General features: G+C 39.7%; 1 protein-coding gene across 14 annotated transcripts in view, besides 1 other annotated feature; it reads right to left on the bottom strand.

Moving 5' to 3' along the window:
- Positions 1-331: 331 nt before the first annotated feature.
- Positions 332-22193, bottom strand: part of PROX1 (prospero homeobox 1) — a 58360-nt gene continuing 36498 nt past the window's right edge. For 8 of the 14 annotated variants that reach the window (XM_011509773.3, XM_011509771.2, XM_005273194.3 and 5 more), the window contains one exon: positions 589-6196. In XM_011509773.3, the coding sequence (XP_011508075.1) occupies positions 6008-6196 (189 nt within the window). In that variant the 3' untranslated portion in view covers positions 589-6007. Of the gene's footprint in view, positions 6197-22193 lie in introns of all 14 variants that reach the window. The other 6 variants (XM_047425575.1, NM_001270616.2, NM_002763.5 and 3 more) reach the window with 1 other exon arrangement.
- Positions 10969-11864: an enhancer, noted in NCBI's record as "H3K27ac-H3K4me1 hESC enhancer chr1:214203321-214204216 (GRCh37/hg19 assembly coordinates)". NCBI's record gives its function as "activates a minimal SCP1, AML or CMV promoter by ChIP-STARR-seq in naive H9 embryonic stem cells {active_cell/tissue: H9 hESC(naive)}" and the evidence as "EXISTENCE:reporter gene assay evidence [ECO:0000049][PMID:30033119]".

The following is a 22193-nucleotide window of genomic DNA, read 5'->3' as shown; positions in this document are numbered from 1 at the left end:
TAAGAATAAAGGAGATATCATTTTAAAACAAAGTGAAATAGATAAAAAGAAATTTTCAATAGCCATAAAACTAATGCTCTTAGTATGGAACATGCTGCCAGCCATGTCAAGAGAAACATTTTAGAAAGGTTTTGAAAATTTACAATAGTACTTCTTAGTTCTGAGTTCATCCAGAAGTAAGAACAGTGCAAGCCCCAAATCCCCATATTTTAAGTAATATATTTGCCATTCTGTGACTTTTGGGAACATCTTTCCTTGTTCTTAGAATCATTCAACATTAACAATTGTTGAATTAAGAGTAAAATATTACTTTGAGCTAAAGCTTTTTTTTTTTTTTTTAAGTTTCAGGGCTAAATAAAGTTAAGCCTGAAAGATGTTTCAGAGAGAGAAATCCAAGCAATTATTCCAAGCATCTAAAGTAAAAGAGGTTGTTTCTAGGAGCTGCACGTTAGGCTAACAGAATGAAGAATTGTAGTGAAAGAAAATCTCCATACTTGACATTACTGGCACAACTAGCCTACTGTCCTACAATTGGATACAGGTCCAAAAATTAAAAGTCACTCTTTCTTTAAGAAAATCAAACGGCACTGAGCTTGTAATGTATATTTTATTTTGCACAAGCTTGCATATATACTGCACATACATTCAGTTTAAGAGGAGATGGAAGGCACACAAGGCAATTGGACTACTGTATCCTTTAAGTGGTACAAAGCAAAAGGTAAAAGTTTGGAGAGTATACAAAAGCTTAAAACACACAAAGTAAAACCCCTTTCCCACCCTCCCCACAACAACTTTTTTTTTTCCTGTTTTAAAATTTAGTAGCTGCCAAACTAATTTTTTTAACTTTTCCTTTAAAATCAATTGTCTACTGCACCTTTTTATTTTCTTTTTAATATGGACAGGGAGTCTCATTGTGTTTATCATATCAATTAATATTACAGTACATCCTTGGTAATACAAAATTGTACACCTTCATCAAATAAATTAGGATAAATTAAACCAATAAATTATGCAAAGTCTTCAGAACAATAGACAACAACAAAAATTCACAATTGAAATTGCCTCTAGCTAAAAAAAACAAACAAAAATCAAAAATTGACTTTATCAGTTCAGTTATTGTACTATATTCAAATCAAAGGGTCTTTATTACAAAAAAGAGCTTAATAATGCTATTTACAACATATTGCTAAATAATATAAAGGCAGTGTTTTGTCACGGTTTATACTATATACATATGAGAAATGGCTGGGACAATATTGAGGGAAGCCATGACCTTTGATTCTTCTAGGTAGCGCTGAGACCAATCCCAAATACATTTTTTTCTTAGTTCTAAATTTGAAGTCGTAATATACAATTTTAAAATATTTTCTCCCCATTTTTAGGGGAATTGAATATTTAAAAAAATACAGAATGAATACGTTTTCACAAAAGAAGGTAAGCTTGTTTGCCTTTTCTGCTTATGTTTGTGCATTCTGAGGGGGTGTCAGATTTGAGAGAAGGCTCAGTTGAAAAGACTCAAAGTCCAGACACTTCCACATTCTGTTATATTCTTAGAAGGATAATTATAAGAAGATGCAAAGGTTAAATACCAGTTTTGATCCCAGCTCTGAATATGAGCATTTTAGCTTTAGTTTTATAGATGGTTTACAACCAACAGATCTACAGAAAACAAAACTGCATTTCCTTCAACATAACATTTAAGTGCAATACGGTAACTGCTTACTCATATAAACCAGTTACATTTTTTAAGGGGAGCTTTTTGAAAACAATGCTTCTTGTAAATTTGCAAACACAGAGTTTGTACCAGAAGGAAACATTTGTACTATTCACACCAATGAATACGCTATAATATACATGGCAAAGAGATTTTTGCACTGTCTTCACATATACACTGCTTCTTTCAGGGGAGTCTGTAAACTACTCTTTCTTTCATAAATTTATGATTGTTCCTGGAGGACATCCTATTTTTTAAAGTCCCCAAATCATTAGCTTTATGACAGTGTGTGTGTTTGTGTGTGTGTGTGTGTGTGTGTGTGTGTGTATGCGCACATGTGCGCATGGGAAGGGGGGGTGTTACTTACTAAATGTCTTCATGTACATAGAAAAAGAAATTTCATAAATTTACAGAAACTGCATTACCCTTGCCCTTGACATCTGATAAAAGAGATTGTTAACTTTTAAAAGGAGAGAGCAGGATTTTCAAGAATGCTTTCAACTGTCTATACAGTCACTGTAGTGTTCCTAGTAAATTCAACAGATGTCGTGAGAATGTAGTTATTTATTAAAATCTCATGTCTTACATAATGACAGCCATGAGGTTAAATATTTACATTGCTTTATAAAAGTTCCCCTCTTGCTTTAGTGTTTCTGTTTTGCTTTTTTTTTGTTGTTTTAAATTTTTTTAAATGATATTCACCCACATCCCTAGTACAGTGACAAAGATTCTGCAAACATAAAACACTTCTTTAATTAAATAATACTCGGAGGCACAAAGCAAACTTCAGGAATATGTGGGTGAACGTTTACTTAAATAATTACTACATTCTAACATCTTCCATGTGTTTTACCATTTAATGTGAAACGTCCTCATTAAACAGCCAGAGATACAGTAAGAATTAAATGTTTTGTTGCAAATAGAACATTCTTTTCACAAAACATAACAAATGTCTAAAATAGGTTCTTAAATCTAGATAGGAAAAGGTAAGCTTTCCACTTCACACGCATATATATATATGTATATTTTTACATGTGTGTATATGTGTGTATGTGATTTTATGTTCACACATCTGCGCACACATATATAGCACATGGTATGAAATATTGCTTCTATACTACTTTTCATTAGGCTAAGAAAACACAAGATTTGCACCACAGTTACAAAAAATTGGCTTCTACAAGAATTTTCAAAACTCGAATGCTGCTCAAACAATTGAGGAAAAAATAATTTGCGGTATCAAACTGTTCTAAAAATTCTCTTCTTCAAAAACGTATTCTCCCGCTTTGTTTTAAAAAGACACAAAATATGCATAGCTATCAACGTTATGTCAAACAGCCAGAAAAAAAATCTAGTGTTTATTGCAGCTGTAGTAATTGGAAATAAAGTCAAAAAGATGAAATCGAAAGCCACAGAAGGCACAAGAACAATTGTACTTGTTGGGAAAAAACTGGTATTTTGAAGGATTTTTTAAAATCCCCCCCGCTGGTGCATTTTAGGTCTAGGCACAGACTATAACCTCAAGCGTATACGCAAAAATAATTTAGGGTTAGCAGAAAATAAGTGGTAGTGTGGTTTTTCAACATGGACTTTAGACTTTTTTTTTTCTTTTCCTATGTAAACTGTCCCTCATCCTTCACCATCCCACCATAGAAAGTTAACTTTCTCCCAAGTAGCCAATTTTCACTTGGTGAGAGTTGAGCTAAGATTTGAAAGATGGTGATTAAAAAAAAAAAATCAAACTGTTAAATAGGAATTTGGAGAGACAGGCTTTTGTCATTTTCCAATGCACTTGGGAGGCACAAGATTTCGATTGTAAAAGGGAAAACCACCGGAAAGCATAGTGATAAAGTTCTATTTTCAGAACAAAGAGGTGAGTTTATCCTCATGCTGCAATTTCTACTCTGAAATAATTTCTATGCCTCAGTGAACATTGAGAGGATATTATCAGTAGATAAGGGCATCAACATTTGGTTGTGAACACACACTTTTGCTTAATTTGTCTATTTAAATTAGAAAGGGAGGGGAAAATAATACTAAAAAAATCCAAATAAGTCTGGAATCAATATTGAACTCGCCCCAGATCAAAAAGATATCTAGCAATCTGTCTACATAGGTGAATACACTACAGCTTTGCCTTTTACCTTGCAAATGGCAACACAAAGTTGATATGAATTACACGGAACAGCAAAAACCCAGTGGCACACTGACACGAACAAGGACTGCCATCCTCTTTTAAAACAAAGCCAGTCAGAAAACTGTGACTACAAGTTGGGATTACTTCCCTATTTTGTGCTGATGGAATTTTTCCTTCCCACTTTATTCCAATGTCATGATTATCCAAACTGCTTTTTTTTAAAGCAAGTGAGAAAAATAACAAATTGGATCTAATGACTCTGTGCATTAGTAGAGTGTGAGCTGGGAGATGTGTGAGGCCGCGGGTGCAGAGTGAGGTGGCTGGTGCCCCCGCCCGTGTGGCTGCACCCTCTGTCTACACTGCGAGGCCCTGTTAGTCCCCTGGATGGTGCAGGGCATCATAGGACTGCACCATTTAATTTAAAGTCAGCAGGTTTTAAGGCTTTGTGCTGACAATAATTGAGTTCATACATTCCTGTCCATCAGCAGAATTTATAAATGACGTTAAATTACAGCGATCGGGTCAGCTAGTCAGTCACATGGGTCAAGACCTGTATTCTCCAAAGTCAAATGTAATTCTTATTAAAGTTGAATTAAAAAATGGCATTTATGTTCTATATGTTCTAAATACCAGATTTGTTACTGTGTCATTTTAGGAGGTGTATATCAAATTACCTAAGGGGAAGGAAGGGTCTGGAAAACAGTTTTAGGATGAACAATGAATTCTTACTGCATCTGGACACAAAAACCCACCTAAGAAAAAAAGTGTGAATGCCATACGAGTTTTTTCAATGCAAGTAGGGAACACTGTACATCATTGAAAAACAGGGAAAAATAAAAGGGAAAAAAGAGGAGAACCATGGAAGAAAGCATAAAATAGCAGCTAGCTTTCTTATGTGTGCTGGAATTGTGTCTTTTGGGTTAACCCCAAATTTTCCTATGCTATACACTCTTCTCACATTTTGGTCAATACTAGCTTCTGAATTGGAAGAGGCATTATCAATTGCTTTAAAATGTTATACCTAAAATGAAGAAACACTGAGTTAGACTGTCACCACTTTGCATACCCATCAGGATAGTGTGGAATTGCTTGTGAAAATATATGTGTTCCTCTTAGGAGATGACGATCAAGTCAGCTAATGGCTGTCAACAAACTTCTAGTGTAGGCAAGAATTTTATGGCCAAGTTGGGCTTTCCTTTATTCCTTACTGGAAGGAAGTATTCAGAAAATAGTATTTTAGGGGAAAAAATTGTTAAGTAAACAGAATCCTTTTAAGCATATAAACAAAGTTGAGCAGCGTAAATTGGAAACTTAGTGCCTTTTAGTATCTGAAGCAAAAATGATAACAAGTTATAGGATTTTTCTTTATGAAGAATGATGTAAGCTCACTTATGAAGAAGAACCTATTTTCAAGTTTAGAGAGGTGGCTACAAGACCAGGTATGAATTTCTAGTCTCATCTTGAGAGAGCTGGTTTTGTGCAAAATTGCTTTGCCTCCAGAAGAAACTGGTACGACTTTCAGAGTTTGCCTCTTTTCTTAGACAAGGCTTGAGAGTGATTATTTTTCTTTTTTAATTTGGCCTTTTGGGGTACTTTGGAAAAGTGAGCTGCTCATCTGTCATTGGAATTATTTTTAAACATGTAAGGAAAAGCTACTGATTGAGTTCAAACCAAACAAAATACTTAAATGTATGAAGTGGTTTCATTAAATTTTCAGACCTTCTTAGCAGTAGAAACAAGAGACACATCACTGTCTGTAGAGTTGTGCTGTGTCATGGGTTTTCCTCAGCCAACCGCCATTTGCAATAAGTCATCAATCAAGTGGATGCATCGTTAACAAATTCCCTTCATTGCTAATAGAGACTTTACACACGCCAACATTCTTTTTCCCTGAAAATTAACCCTATTTTAAGTGTCCAAATGTTAAGGGCCTTGGGCAAAAGCAAACTAAAGGCAGAAAGAAAACAACCATCCCCTTGCAATGGAAAACAAAAGAAAATGAGAGAAACGTGATGAGGAGGAATTACCAGCTGATTTCATAACATATCCATGCCTCCCATACACATATATATGAAATCAAAATCTAGACACATATAACTTGGACATCCAAAGGGGACTGCTACTCTTCATACATTCAAAAAGAGTTGTTGAAATTTCTACTCATGAAGCAGCTCTTGTAGGCAGTTCGGGGATTTGAAAATCTCAGGGACTTCACTATCCAGCTTGCAGATGACCTTGTATATGGCCTTCTTCCAGGAAGGATCAACATCTTTGCCTGCGATAATGGCATTGAAAAACTCCCGTAATGTGATCTGAGCAACTTCCAGGAATCTCTCTGGAACCTGCTGATACAAGGAGACAATGGCATTAATAAAGTTTTCAGTTTCAAGTCTACAGTTATTCCAAGGAAACTGAGCTAAGATCATTCTTGCAGAAAGGGGCTTACATGGCACCTGCATTTTCTAAAAATAGCTGGCTTCTATTCTTTTAATGTAAAGTCATTATATATAGAAGCATTGTGATGTGGGGTTGACAGCTTTGTTTTAAGAAGAGTGTATGAAAGATCCAACGCAGACCTATTGAAAAACTGGGATTTCATTGTGGATATTAGGATAGGAATATGGGATGTGACTTTTGGGATTCCTCACTTTATTAAATAAGTGCTATCCAGAAGAAAGTCTCCAATTATTTTTTCAGAATTTGAATCCTATTTCTTTTTGATTGCCATGATGAAAACAAAATACGTTCTCAAAATAGAATAACAAATAGTTGGGCTTCTTTATAAATTAAACCCAAGCTTTAAATGAAGAAAATCTTCTAAAATCTCAGTTATCTGTTTGTCTCAGAGGATTGTTGACTCAGATGCTAAGTTGTATATTAATCTGCAATATAAAGTATTCTATATACATAAAGGAGTAAAATAATAATATTAACATGAAGTCACAAAACTGATCCTAAAATATTACATCAGAAACTACTTAACCTTGAGATTAGAATTGCTCCATAAGAGAGTGATTTATTCAGCTGATAATAATAATAATACAAACTAACTTTTTTCGAGTATTTACTACTTGCCAGGCTATGTTTTATGTACTGAATGTGAATTATGTCATTCAGTTCTCCCAATCTCTCTAAGGGGTGTTATTATCCCAGTTACACAATAGAAAACTGAGGCTCAGAGAGGGTAAGGAAATTCCTCAAGGTCCTTATCATCCAAAATAAACATTCCCCAAATATTCATTTTAGAACCCCAATTTCTTAAGGCTTTTCTTCCACAGCAATTAATATGTATGTGTGTTGTGTGTGTGTGTGTGTTCTCTTAATTACTTATTAATCTGATCTCTTGACTAAGGAAAGCAGTAGCTACTGATGTACTTATTTAGTGTTCTTTGGAAGTTACTTATAGTACAGCATGGTCTATCTATCCCCACACCAACATAATGGAATCACAGAATAATCCATGAACTCATGATTTTCCAAGTACACATTGACACTTAGTAGATTTCTTTTAGTGGGGTACTTATACACCAGTAAAGTTTCATTTTTACATTAAGTGCAGACGTATGAGGACATAAACGTATCATAGGTGTACATGTAGCCATATTTATCTACGCATATACAAGAGATGAAAGACATTTCATCTAAGTTCAGACATGCCACGTACCAAAGTAAAAAGGAAGTAGTGTAATGTTGAACATGTTTCATCTCTTTCTTCCCACCTTGGGTGCAATGTACTTTTTAACAATAGTAGTAACTGGTAAAGAAAACCAGAATCATCACCCGACATCACTGTTTTTCACGTTTAAAATTGGACAAAGAAGTTCATTGTTCCCTATGGCAAGTTAATTGTTGTTTATAAAGAAATGTAATAACTCTGCAGAAAAAAATGAAAGGGACTCCTTTTGGGGCCAATCAGTCTTAAGCTTACATTTTTATCAGACCCTCCTAAAGACTTTCACACTGGCCCATTTCTTAGGACATAATTCCCAGTGTTGCCTGGAAAATCCTTCAAAGTGCCGCCTTGTCCGCCATGAATGTGCAAACCCATACACCTCAAGGGCCATTCTCTGCTGAGAATTCATGTGGATTTTCTACAGGCCTTTGGGTGATTTCCTCCCAAATGTCTTGTATACATGAGTATTTGTTGGAGGAGAGCTTAGCCCTCCCACTCACATTATACAAATAAAAATTCGTGAAGCAATCTTTTCTAGCACAGTCACCTCCACCCCCAAAGATAATCCTCCACATTCTATCAAATGAGCATCACTGAGGGAGGGAATGTGGCTGGAGAACAGTGAAGCGGAGCAACTGCCCACTCTCACTCCTTGGATTGGGAGCTGTTAGCCAAATGCTACAGAAACATAATCATAGGCATTTATTAATTTATTTATTTGAGATGGAGTTTTGCTCTGTCACCCAGGCTGGAGTGCAGTGGCATGATCCTGGCTCACTGCAACCTCTGCCTCCTGGGTTCATGAGACTCTCCTGCCTTAGCCTCCTGAGTAGCTGAGATTACAGGCAAGTGCCATCACGCCTGGCTAACTTTTGTATTTTCAGTAGAGATGGGGTTTCACCATGTTGGCCAGGCTGGTCTCCAACTCCCAACCTCAGGTGATCTGCCCGTCTTGGCCTCCCAAAGTGCTGAGATTACAGGTGTGAGCCACTGCACCTGGCCAATTATAGGCATTTATTAAAATAAACGTTTCAAGAAGGGTGGTTTCATCAGCCAACGGCAATACAGCCTCAGTGAAATTCTATGTTCCTTGAGCACTCAGGGATGCAGCATGACATGGCAGAGAGCTTTGAGGGGTGAAGGTGTGGGCAGCTGCCCCAGAGAAGCCAGAGAAGGCCGGAAGCCCTGCCCACACCAAGAACTGCACAGGAGGTCTGGGGAACCAGGGACAGGGGAAGGGCAGGCATTGTTCAAGACTGTCAGAGGAGAGAGAAGAGGTACATCTAGAACATCAGCAGCAGGGGAGGGAGGGAAGTGTAGTTGTAGGATTTGCATGAGAACAAGGCAACTTCTTTGGGGGTTGTATGCAGTCTCCTCTTCATCATTTTTATAGTTCGTCATGCTTGTTAATGGTTTTTAGTGGGTTTTAATCTGTTTTAAATATTCCTTTCTTGTGGTGGCAATCATAGGTTATCCTTTATCACCTTTTGCATTTGTGTCTTGATGCTGTTTAACTTTTTATCTACTTTTATGTACTTTCAATTACCTCATCATAAGGTGTCTCTAGATAAGGAGCCTCAGCAGAGTATCTTTTGCAAAGTTATTTGGTAAATAGCTCATAGTGAGATCTTGCCTTCTGCTTTACTCCATATTGCTCTAGAGTGGCAGTTACTTAATACTTTAACAATACTTAATAAAGGGAAGCTTCAGCCTGAGCAACATGATGAAACCCCGTCTCTACCAAAAATGCAAAAAAATTAGCTGGGTGTGGTGGCACATGCCTGTGGTCCCAGCTACTGGGAGGTGGAGGTGAGAGGATGGCTTGAGCCCAGGTGGCGGAGGTTGCAGTGAGCTGAGGTTGCACCATTGCACTACAGCCTGGGTGACAGTGAGACCCCATCTCAAAAATAAAAAAAAAAAAAGAAGTTTAAAATAATGGTAAAGTAAGGTAGAATTCAAAGAGTTCGAATAGATCTCAGAAATCATCACTTTATAGATGAAGAAAGCATGAGATTGTATGAGATGAAGAAATGATGAGATGAAGAGATTACTGTGAGGTAAGGTGTCTTTGCATTAAACGATGCTGGCTCCCTTTTAATGCTTTTTCAGCAATTTCTACTATTTATATGAGGCACCAAAACCTTGAAAAGCTGTGCCTCTGTAATCTTGAAAAACCACAGAGAATCTAGTAACTTCAAAATAAATGGAAATGGTATAAAAGATGCCCTGGAGGAGACTTTGGTTATTGGTTTATATTTGGGAAGAAATGAATTCTTTGTGAACAAATAAAATGATTAGTTAATATAGTGCTTACTTTGAGGTGATACTCATGCAATGGACTGGACTGGACAAAAGAAAGTTGTAATGAGATACTGAACTACTGGAGCAACTCATGTGTTTGGTGGCTCCCAGAGGTACACTTTTGGGTAGCAACTGATCTTCTGAGAGGGTTCCAGTGAATTTCATCCACACATAGAAACATCACCCATGGAAAAAGAGACCTTTACCTCTGCTTGAAAACACCCAGCTCCATTTAACAGAATAATAGGGGGTACTTTCTGATGTTTTGTGGGAGCATCTTAGAAACCAGTCTTATCAGAATGATGTTGTCCATATTTTTCTGCACCTCTTCACACCTAATGGCTTTCCCATCACCAATAAACATCTGCAGAAAATCCCTTAGTGACAAGTAATCCCTTATCTAGGTTTCTTTTAATAGAACCCAACAATCTGCAGAATGAACCCTAGAGTATCTCCTCAGCATCAGGTGGTAACAGTCAATCAAGTCACTGGAATGCAAGACAATGCAGGCGGCTGGGGAGGGCGGGCGGAGGAGGGGAGAAGGCCCTGCCTTTGGACATGCCACAGGGAAAAAACAAAAGGCTTCCAAAGTCTTTGGCTGGAACTCTGAGGCTATTGTGGGAGCTGCTTTGCCCAGCGTTCCTCAGGAGAGGAGAGTGGAAACTTTGTTTTGATAAAAAGGCATCCCAATATAGGAACGTCACCCCAGATGGTCTTGCCTTGATATTTGGAGAAGAATATAAAGTAATGAGGTACTTGAAGATATGCATAAATTTGAAGGGGGTTGGCTATCAGCTTCTACCAATTTCATCACAGACTTGAGTCTCCTCAGAGCAAACAAGAGCCTTCTGGGCTTCCATGAAATGCAGAAAATGAGAGGAGGTTTTCAAGTCTGCCCAGTCCACAGCTGGGTTGCGCGTGTGTGTGCGTGCGCGAATGCGCGCGCGCGCACACACACACACACACACACACACACACACACGGTGTGTTGGGTGGGTGGTTGTTTTGCTGTTCTTTTTTTTTTCCATCGGAATGAGTGGCAAAGACACATTTTTCTCCTGTCTTCCTCCTCTTCCCAGTTGCTTTACCTTCAAGGATGATTTGTTTTATTAAACTGACTGTCCCTAGCCTCTGCAGTACATAATAAAAGCCTGACATAGCAGGCTGCCTGCCTTCTGTGTCCTGCAGATACTCATCATAAGTGTCAGGACATACCAAGGTTAGCGGTCACTGGAAGTGTGCTCGCTGGCCCAAACCTTGCCAAACGCTCTTGGCAGCTGAATGAATGTCACAGAGAATAGAAGGGGAATTACAAAGGTTAAAAAGAAGACAGCCTCTCCTATTTTCTGGAGACAGAGAAGCTCATTTTTCACACCTCTGAACCGTCCGTAAGCTCATTCATCAGCCTCTTGCGGGGGACCTAAACCTTGCCCCTTGCTCAGTTCTCCATGGACACTCCTCCCTCCTCAATCCCCTTTAAAAATTGGCCCTCTGGCCTCATTTCATCACTGAAATGATCTTCACTGAAATGGACAGAAAACAAACCAGGCATCGACTTCTTTCCCTGGCCACCCACCCCCCAACCCGTAACCAAAGGCTCCAATGGCCTATCAAGCCTATCAATAGATTACAAACTTTTCAAGGGAAATCATCTTTATAGCTGATCTTTTAAGCTAATTTTTTTTTTCAAACTTGCTTCGATGGAGAAATGGAAAAGGACACGTGTACTGGCAGGCATGGCTAGCGAATGGGAAAGTACAATCCTGCCTAGTATTTTGGTGAATTAGTTTGTGTGTGGGTTTTCCTTCTTCTTCCTCCTCCATTTTTTTTTATACTATAAAAGGGCAATAAAATGCTGACTGTAAGAAGACAATGTCAAGGAGAAAAGGGTACTGGTATTTTGGATACTCTTCACTGCTCGCCTTGGAGAGAGAGTTATTCTTGTCACAAACCCTTTTGTCTGCATCTGCTGACTGCTTGCCTGTAGCCAGCAGCATACTTTAACTGTTTTGTCACCTCCTAACATCACATGCATCAGCTGTTGGGCTTTTGTTACGGGTATTGTAGAACTAATCCGCTGTGGCTGTTCTACTGTGCGGTAAATAAAACAGAAACGGGCTTCTCAGACTATTCTGCATGAATATTTCAGATGGCTTTTACAACTCCGATTCACAAAATCAAATAAATAAATAACTCCCCAGCCACCCCCCAGCCTCTCCCCACACCCAGAAACAAAACCCCTCGATCTAGCCCCAGATGCCTCCAAGTCAACTGCATTCAAGAGGCTGACTTGAGCCTTCAAGCAATTGTTTCAGGGAACTCGAAAGAACAGTGCTCTCTCAATTTTCACACCGTGGAATTCATATACAGTAGTAGAGTTAAATATATCTAATGCTGAAGCAGCTCTGAAAAATTGGAGAAAGTTACTTTTTGTCCCTGTGGGCCTTTAAAAATATATAGGTAATGCCATCAAAAATACATAGTGAAGAGCTGCCTTGTCAAACTGCTTTTATTGTTTCCATCCGTATTTTCTTCCCTTCCACTCATCTGAAAGGGGTCAAAGGTAGATGCTTGTGCATTTAGTTTATCCTAAGAGTCTCTTTTGTGCTCTATATAAGAGCACAAAAGAAGAACCAAACTTTGCTGGGTTAGAAAAACTGCATCTGCATCATTAGCTCCTTAACGGTATAATGATGTACCAATCATACATAGCGAGGTATTTTTCTAGATGACTTCGAAGTGTCTTTGGAGAAGTTAAAAAGAGAATGGGCATCTGCACACGTGTGTGCACACACACGTACACAAAAATCTTAGGGAAGGAGACAAATAGTTGAAGTACTTTCCCGAGCATTCATTCACCCTAGAGTGCACATGATTCCTCTAAACAAACTCTCCCATCCCTGCTGTTTGTTAAGTAAATATCGATCAAGGAGAGACTCATCTCCTGACAGCAGTGGCACAAGCTGGGGACTTACACTGCAGACAGAGTGGACTTAAATGGATAAACTCAGATGCTTTAGTAACTCCTCATAGAGATTATCAGATGAAAAGCCAAGAACAGATACGTTATTGCTGCTCCTCTTCACTGTCTCACTCACACTAAACTCTCCTGCCAGAGGCTGAAAAGAGGAATCATGGAGCTGTAAAATATGGTCACAAGATGTGGTTACTAAGGGTCTCCCTTTGCAGTCATGCATGCATTTATCCTGTGTGTACAGCCGGGGACTAACAGGCCCTCCAGAAGAGAAGGAATGGTGCAGGATGCTATACACAGTGAATCCTGAGATTCTATTCCAGTGCCCTCTCATTCCAGGGGAGGATCAAATGGAAAAGAAAACATGAATGCACTTTGGGAAGCATAAAATATCATCCAAATATAAGGTGGTTTACAAGTTTGAGATTTTAAAGAGGAGCCCTAATTCCTGGGAAGCATTCACTGTGATTAATAAATGTCTGCAAAGCATCGTTTTGAGAGGTGCTCTGAGGAGGTTCGCTTGGGTGAGTTTGTTGGCTGAGTCAACCGGTTGAGAAAAGTTGCTTTGTGTTCCCTAAGTTTTATTTTGGCCATTTCATAATTATGAGTCAAAATCCTGTTTTCTGCACTGTTCGTAGCTGAATGGATACGTGTACTTCTCTGGGAAGGTCAGTTTTAAAATCATCTTTAGAGATTAGGTTTTGTGTATTGAACACTGAGCACCGTGGTCAAAGGGCAAGATGTTATATTTAGAGTTCCCAAACAGCTAAATGGTGTTTGAATTTTATTAGGATGCTTGTGTTTGGAAAAACTAGCAGGATCCAGGAGCACTGGCTGTGAAGTTGCTTTCGGGTGCCTGCCGAGTTACCCCAAATGAGGCAGAGGAAGGTTCTCCAGCAACATCTGGGCTTAGGACTAAAGGCTTTCTCCCTCTGATGCTCCAGGTGGCATTCAGCTTTCAGGAACACTGAGGATTAGATTCGTCTAATACCCATGCAGTTTGGGCCCACTTTCTAGTTACATGTTTTGCTGTTTAAATATGTGAAAAGTAAATGCTTGTAGGAAGTGGCTATAGTTCAAGGCTGTCTTAAGAAAAAAAAAAACCTAAAAACTATGTTTCCTTGGTCTAAACAAAGGAACACATGGCAATAACAGTCTGTATCTCTTTTATATATATATATATATAAAGCTTCGAAAGAACAATGTTCTGTTGAGCAAAATTCAGTAGCATTCTGTAAACATTAATTTAAGGAAATCAATAGACTCAGTGAGCTAAAGCCATATTGCAAGATAAACTGGCCAGAGTGCCACTTTGTCAAATAGATTTTCGTTTTCTCGGCTAGATAAAGACAGTTTCAAAACGGGGCAGACGTGTTGCAACCAGGGTTTGAAAAGTATGTGGCCTTCAAACAGTCTGCTTGTTCCTACTACAAAGCTGGATAAACATACTTTAAAAATGATAAGCCTGGTTTAGAATTGACTTGGCTTTCAAATTTTACATATAGTAGATTTCTTGGTCATCTCACAGGAAAAGAATAAAACAAAGTACCATGCATTCAAAATAGAAAATGTACTTAGGTGAAAGGGGTTAAATTGTCTTGAGAGACAGAGCTTTGGGAGCAGTTTCGGTTGATGCTTGACTTTAAAAAAGAAGGGAAGAAAGAAATCTTTATTCATGCTGACCTGATGGGCAATCGGCCTTCTTGCCAAAATCCCGAAGCCAAACTCTCTAGTGAGTTTGAGATCAGAGGTTTCAGCTGGTGGAAGCTGCTCTCTTCTGTGCTCACCAGGCAATGTCATGTTAATGTGCGAGGGGGTGTGGGGGTTGGGGGAAGCAAACCCAGGGAAAGGCTAGAGAAGGAGCAGAAGTGATGAGCCACCCAATAGCCCCAAGGTTTTTGTCAGCCAGACGGAAAGAGTTGCAGGGATAATCCAAAAAGTGGCAACGGGAAAGCAGGTCTCTCCTCCTGTCACCTACATGGAGTTTGTGGCAGTACACTTCCAAGTCAGACCACTTGACATCCTCCAATGCCACACCAGCCCTTATAAATGCTGATAGCAAACAGATATGACATGGTGAAAATGGCCCCCTGGAGGAAATGTAATAAAAAGAATGAACAGTCACATGCAAACTGCCAAGGAGGGAGGTTGAGGATCTACCTTGAATTGACAGGGAAACTCCATGGAAAAGCATCACAGGAGCTGAATTTTGGTCTGCAGTGTACGGATCTGGGGGGCTGCTACCGGCCAAACCCCTCACACAGACTTCTCTGACCACAGCAATGAATGAAGGGCAGAGATACACCCTGAGTATCTTCTTTGTTTTTCTACCTGAATTTGAGTCTTTGTCTTTTAAGAGTATTTAGAAAATACAAAATTCACAATAAAATTTCTACAGCATTATGATGTTGATAACATATGTGTTGTTAAAATATTATATAATTATCAACAATGTTCTAGATTTGAGCATTTCGAATAATTGTGACTTTCAGGTAATAGAAAAGGATGTCTTAACATCTTCTATTCTACGTTTAATAAATTGTGCATACATTTTAAATTATGTAAGTATTCCATTGGCAATTCTGCATGTAGAGATCAAGGTAAGTAAAACCATCTCTTCCATAGCCCCAGTAGAAGATAGTACTAGCTTGCTAGGAGCAGAATGACAAATGTCTATGAGAGACTGTCAAAATTATTTCGTGGGGCTGAAATTTGGTCAGTGAACGTGCTTTAAGTGGCTAGTTTATTTGCTCACACATGGAGGTCTTGGTATTATACGTGTTAGGAAACATAATTGTCACATTATTGGTCGCGATGAAGCAAATTTTCCTTCTCTCCCAAACTCTGCATAGGTCTTAAAAAGTGATTCCAAGTTTAAACAAACAAACAAATATGCAAGCAAAATCAAGGAAAAAGCATCAAAAACTAAAACCTAATACCTCATTCTCTCCCCCTGAGATACTACACAGATACTGTTAAGATCTTAAAAACAACTGGAAGCACTGTGCAGAAATTGCTCATCTGGTAGGCTGTTCAGGTAAGAGCTGGACCAAGACTATTCCATCAAAGACTCATGGAATTGGCCGGGTGCGGTGGCTCACGCCTGTAATCCCAGCACTTTGGGAGGCTGAGGCGGGTGAATCATGAGGTCAGGAGTTCAATACCAACCTGGCCAAGATGGTGAAACCCCGTCTCTACTAGAAATACAAAAAAATTAGCCGGGCGTGGTGGCTGGCGCCCGCAATCCCAGCTATTCAGGAGGCTGAGGCAGAGAATTGCTTGAACCCAAGAGGCGGAGGTTGCAGTGAGCTGAGATCATGCCACTGCACTCCAGCCTGGGTGACAGAGTGAGACTCCATCTCAAAAAAAAAAAAAAAAAGGAATCACAGAATTTTGGAACTTCAGAACTAGAAGGAATCTCAGAGAGTTCATGTCCCACAGAAGAGAAAAAACCTTCAGCCGGTGGTCAGCAAAATTTGCCAGTAAAGGGCCAGGTAATAAATACATAGGCTCTGTGGGCCATATTTGGTCTAGGTTGGATATTCTCCTTATTTTTTACAACTGTTTAAAAATTTAAGTCATTCTTAGCTTGAAGCCATAAAAACAGATTGAGGGGCAGCTCTGCCCATAGGCCATACTTTGCCAGCCCCTGCTTTTAGCCAAACTTGAGGGCTAACAGCTTTTCTAGAGGCCTAATGGTCTTTCATTCTGCACTGATCCTGGGTCTTTCATTCTGCTCTATCTTGGAGGATAGTTCGATTGATTCACTTGAATTCGACCTGTAAGGCCAGACCATTCCCCCGATGGAGTTAAGGCTGCCTATGTCTACGGGAACAGAGTTAATAAACCACACACGTGGTGGTCAAGGACCAGGAAGACTTCAGTCTTACCCTGCTCTGATTAGGAACGTTTAATTGGGAGCTTTCCTGCCAGTACATATTTAAATGTGCTAAACAGAGGAATGTATCCCTGCTTCATGACACATCTGACAAATCAGCTCAATACTTAGGTGGAAAAATAAGCCCTGCAATCATATACCAGTCACTTTGTAGTGTTAACAAATTCCCCTTTAAGTCAGCCCCGTAAATTTGGTGCCATTGGTGTCTGAGTTCAAGACAAGCTGACAGCCCTTGAAGTTTAACTTTTGCTACAATTACTGGGTGAGGTGGTAAAAGAAGCAGGGCCAAGCTTGGTGCCATTCTTGGATGGGACATTATCCAAAAACAACATAGCACAAACACTCCAATATTGCATGAAGGGAAGCTGGGGCACAGATAATCCACAGTTACTCCTGTTTCGTTCGAGAATGTATTACGTGATTGTTTTCTGCCACAGCTTTACCTTCATAATTAAGCTTTGCCTAGGCTAATATTAAAACTAGTCTGTGTGCCCTGTATTGCTATTGATGGAGCAATGTGAGTAAGGAGCCTAGGGAGAAGCTGTTAGGAAGTGGGGTTCAGGCAGGTTGTGATGAGAAAGGGATTGCTCATAGTAAACACCAAAGAAAGCGCTTGTGATACAGATGGTAGGAAATCAGACAGAGCTTCAGAGAACACAAGTTCATGGGGGATGCTGGCACTCTGCTGGCAATAGCTTATGACACCCCAAATAATATCCGAGTTGCTTTAGGAAAGGATGGGGATTATTGGCCTCAATCCCATCCCTTGGTTTTGACTGCAAGATCTTTGTTCTGTCAGAGAAATTCTATTCTGTATTTCCAGGGAATTCTATTTGTCTTTCTCTGCAATCACCCTTTGCAAAACTAAGGATGGGCTGTATTTCAAATGCTACTTAAGAGCTTGTGAAGGGCTTTGGAATCCCTTTTTCAAGACAGGTAAATAGATTGCAAAGACAGGCAGATTGCAGAATGAACTCGGGGGCTTTTGGAAGTCCACTAGACTCCTACCCAATGGGACTTGAGGTAATGTTTAGGGTGGGACAACCTAGGATGCTGTCAATACCTAGGACTGGCCTTGTTGAAAGGCAGTTTCAGGTATCTACACAGATTATCTTGTACGCCTTCAGGTCACTGAAAATGATAAATCTTTAAAAGTGGATGCTCTAAATGAAAGGAAACACAGTGGCCTTGAAACCATGACCTTTCAGCTTCTTCTACATATGGTCAGCTTCCCATCATTTCTCTGTTTTCACCTCTACTCAAACCATCCCTCCCTGCCCAAGTATTTACTTGTTCTCAGGGAATACATTACCTTTTACTGAAAGTCACTTTTAGCACCATATTCTAATTTAAAATGTTAATGTAGCCTTAAGAAAACAGAACTTAGGTGCAATAGCCATAAGAAATATGAAGAATACATATCCAAATGGCTTGTATGAGGACTCAATACCTCCCAACCACAAACTCTCACACATACAAAACAATCTCAAGGGAAAAGACTTTCATGATCTATATTACTATCATTTGGGGAATATTTAAAGAAAAGGGTGGTGTTGCTTTTGCAAACACTACCAAGTAGGCTTAGTAGGGAAGGTAGTTATATCATCTAAAACTGCCAATTCTGGCTGGGCATAGTGATGCACACCTGTAATCCCAGCTACTTGGGAGGCTGAGGCAGGAGAATCGCTGGAGCCCGAGAGGTGGAGGTTGTGGTGAGCTGAAATCATGCCACTGTACTCCAGCTTAGGCAACAGTGCAACACTCTGTGTCTCAAAAAAATAAAAAAATAAAAGAATAAAAAAAAAAACATAGCCAATTCTGCTCTGAAAGAGAGGAGACGTACATTATATAGAAGTTAATGCATATTATAAATGCTGATAGTCTGTGTTGAGGCCTGCATGGAATGTGTGAGAAAACCCAATGGCATGAGGGCTTCACTGACAAATTTCCTCATTGTTTGGCCACCCTGGCCAAGGCAACAAATAAAGTGAGCAGCAAGTCTAATGATAGTGCCAATTCAGTCAATAAATTGTGTATGAATTTGAAAAATTAGTCTCTATAATCCCAGTAAGGGAATTGCCATGTCTCCAAGGGCACTGTTGAGATTCAGATCTGCAAATAGGGCCTTGGGAGAAAACGAAAATGGGCACCCTGGAGATTTTGACTGAGATAATTAAGCTGCAGCAGAGTCACCAGGGTAGAAGGGGCCTCACATGGAAGCCATCTGGATTCCCAGGGCCTCTATACTCACTGCTTAAAGCTTTGCAACATGACCAAGACTCAAAAGAGACTTTATTTAGAGAATGCAGAATACCCCTCTATTCTAGAGTCACAAAATTTCAGAGCTAGAATGAAACTGCCCCTCTACTCTAGAGTCACAAAATTTCAGAGCTAGAATGAAACTCTTGAATTTAATCTTATCACTTTCCAAAAGGTGAGCACAGTAGACCACAATGAGGCAGGTATGGCCAGAGCCAGACCCTCCAGGCCAGTGCTCCTTCCACCACCCCCAGCATCTCATCGTGTCCTTCTCATCTGGAACGGATGACCCCAGAGTCCTGGAGCTGTTCCAGGCTAGTGTCGCCTTTTCAGCCACATTCAGAGCAGGAACACTTGCTCTTGTGAAAACCAGTTTTACGTTGAATATATGTTCCAATTCTGATGAGAGCTCCCTCATTGCCCGTTTGTTTACTTTCCTATTTAGGGTCAGCAGGAAATGGTGCAATAATTGGACCACAGATGTCACAGCAACAAGGTAACATTTACTTGGCTCTGCAAATGAATAAATGTGAATGCTTATACAGCACTTACTTTGTGCTAATACAATTGTGTAGATTCATTTAATTCTCACAACACTCTGTGAAGTAGTCACTATTACATCCCCTATTTTACAGATAAGGAAACTGAAGTACAGGCAGGGTAAGACACTTGCCAGGGTTTCACTGCTAGAAAGCAGCAGAGCTGGGATTTGATCCCAGGGCCTGGCTGGAGAGTCCATGCTGTAAGTCCTACAACGGTATTGATCCAGGACCACTGACAGTGGAAAGACTCCCCAAAGCATTTTCTTTGTAAGATTTCAAGGGGATGTTTTATATAAAATATTGACTACTTGCAGGTGAACATTTCATTGCCTGCCTGAGAATAACATCAAATAAAGCAGAAACTGGAGCTTTCCCCCAGAGCTGTCATTATTATAGACTCAAGTTCAAGACTAAGGCTATCTCCTCATGATGTCAAATACCCCAGTGCTTGATCTACAAGAACACTGAAAACATCTGGAGGGCAGGGTGGATCTGCCTATTTTCTATTTGGCTGGGTATGTCCTATAGACACAATCATATTTGCCAGAGTATTTGCCAAGAGTCTGATCAGCTGGTCTCATAGGATCATTTTAACCAATAAGCACTACTGAGATCCAACTCAAGAATTCCAGCTTCTGAGGATAAACTTTTGGGGTAATCAAAAAAGTCCCATTGGGTGTGCACAAGGCACCATCACCAAACCGTGGCATGACTGCCCACACCTGGAGTTCTGCTGTGTGAGTTAGTAACTGTAACTGTCCCTCAGAAAAACACAGTCAGGCTGGAAGCGCATTACAGCAGGGCAGCTAAAATGATCCAGGGCAGCCCACTTACTGTATGAGATTAGGCTTTTAAAAAGGATTAGAGCTCCTTAATCTGGAGAGATGAAGATTAAGAGGGAGTAATGATCAAAGTCTGTAAAATCAGAAAGGAAATGGAGAATATGGACACAACCCTCTTCACAATCCCAGGATATTATAACAAGGGCTATCCCTGTGGAGTTCTAGGGGAATCACGTTTAGAGCCGTAAAAAGAAGATAGTATTTTCCCAGCAGGTAATACACTTAGAGAATTATTATCTTAAGGAGTGGTATATTCTGACAATGAGATTAAGTTTAAAAAAGGTTTAAGTAAAACTCATGGGTGATAAAACCATAATGGTGGGCAACTGGGAGGTTAGGAATATTTTGGATATATCTCGAGCCTTTTGAAAAATGATTCAATGACAGGTACCAGCCTCTCCCAATATGCTCCCTGCACAGGGCTGACAATGGGTTGGGGAGCCCACCCGCCTGATCTGACCACCTCTCTTCTCACCTTGTTGGCTACATTGGTCCTAATATTTGCAACATGCATATTCTTGTGCCCCTCTTTGATAGGTATTTGAAAATCTCAGCAACCCGGTACAATGTGGCAACTCATTCCTCTGAGGAAGTTTTCTTTAACCCTTAACAGAGTCTTTGTCTTGAATTTCAAATTACAATTCATGGCAGTGATCTAACCATGATTTCCATAAAATATACACTTAACTCCTTTAACTACACCTGAAAACTAAAATCTTATGGTTTGCTCAAAGATGGAGACATTTAAATCATTTTATGTTGCAGTAGTTAGAGAATTTAAAAACTAGTTAAACTCTATTGGAAAAGCTGCTCATAATATGCTAACACAGATCAATTAATTCAAATTTAAGGGAAAATTAAACATACCAATTATGTAGTATCCATCACAGCCCAAGATATTAAGCTCTAAAATTTACTGCAGCTAATGTAGAAACCAGTACACCTTCACAAAAGCTGTGGCTCTGTTAGATATATAGAATAAAACTTTAGAGAGAGAAATGTTTTAGCTGTTTCCAAAACAGCCAAGTGTTAATCACTGTAAGTATCTAATAGTAGGTCATTGTTGAGGGCTGGGGCAGAAGGAGGGGGCAGTGGTTTTGGGAGAGGGTAGAGTGGAGATGAAGATTCACTTAGAGAAAGGAACCTTCAGAAGACTGTAACGTGCACAGCGAGGCATGAAGAGTATTTTCTGTACTCACATTTCAAAGTGCTTTCAGAAAATTGGTAAAATGTGGCAATGCACAGGTGCAAATAAAGGATCCAAGGAAATAGTGAGGGGGGCAGAGTGGGGACGGAGGAGGAAGGCACACAGATAATAAGCAATATCTAATAATGCCAAACTCATTCTAACCCTGTCTCTCATCATAAACTGGAAGCAATCACTTGGTGTCTTTTCAGATTGCAAGTTTGAAAACGTTAGTCTTCATGGTGGCGAGCTATTCAAAGTCACTATTCATTTGGGGGAAAAAAAGTAGGAAAGGTGGTCAGGAGTGGGGAAGGATTCAAGGGTAAAGAGTCACTTCATTTCGCATTGTAGACTTCGGAGTGATTTGGGCAAGAAAACTGGGACATCTGGAGTTCAGAAGTCGAGGAAAATGGGGAAGAACCAGGAAGATGAATACATGATCATCAGCTACACAAAAGAACGGAGCAAAAAGAAGCCGGGATTTGGGCACAGGCGTCTGGCAAGGAGGCCGGCAGCAGGGCTAATGAAGCATTTGCGGCGTGGGACATTTGCCAACGCAACAAAGAAGATGTGCTTGGGCTCTGCAGATGTGCCAGGGCCCCCAGAGCAAAATAATGACATAATCACCATCAGTGTCACAGACCAGACTGTACACAAGGTGACAGGG

This window comes from Homo sapiens, chromosome 1 (assembly GCF_000001405.40).
Source record: "Homo sapiens chromosome 1, GRCh38.p14 Primary Assembly".
Taxonomy (NCBI): domain Eukaryota; kingdom Metazoa; phylum Chordata; class Mammalia; order Primates; family Hominidae; genus Homo; species Homo sapiens.
This window is presented reverse-complemented; position numbering and strand designations above follow the sequence as displayed.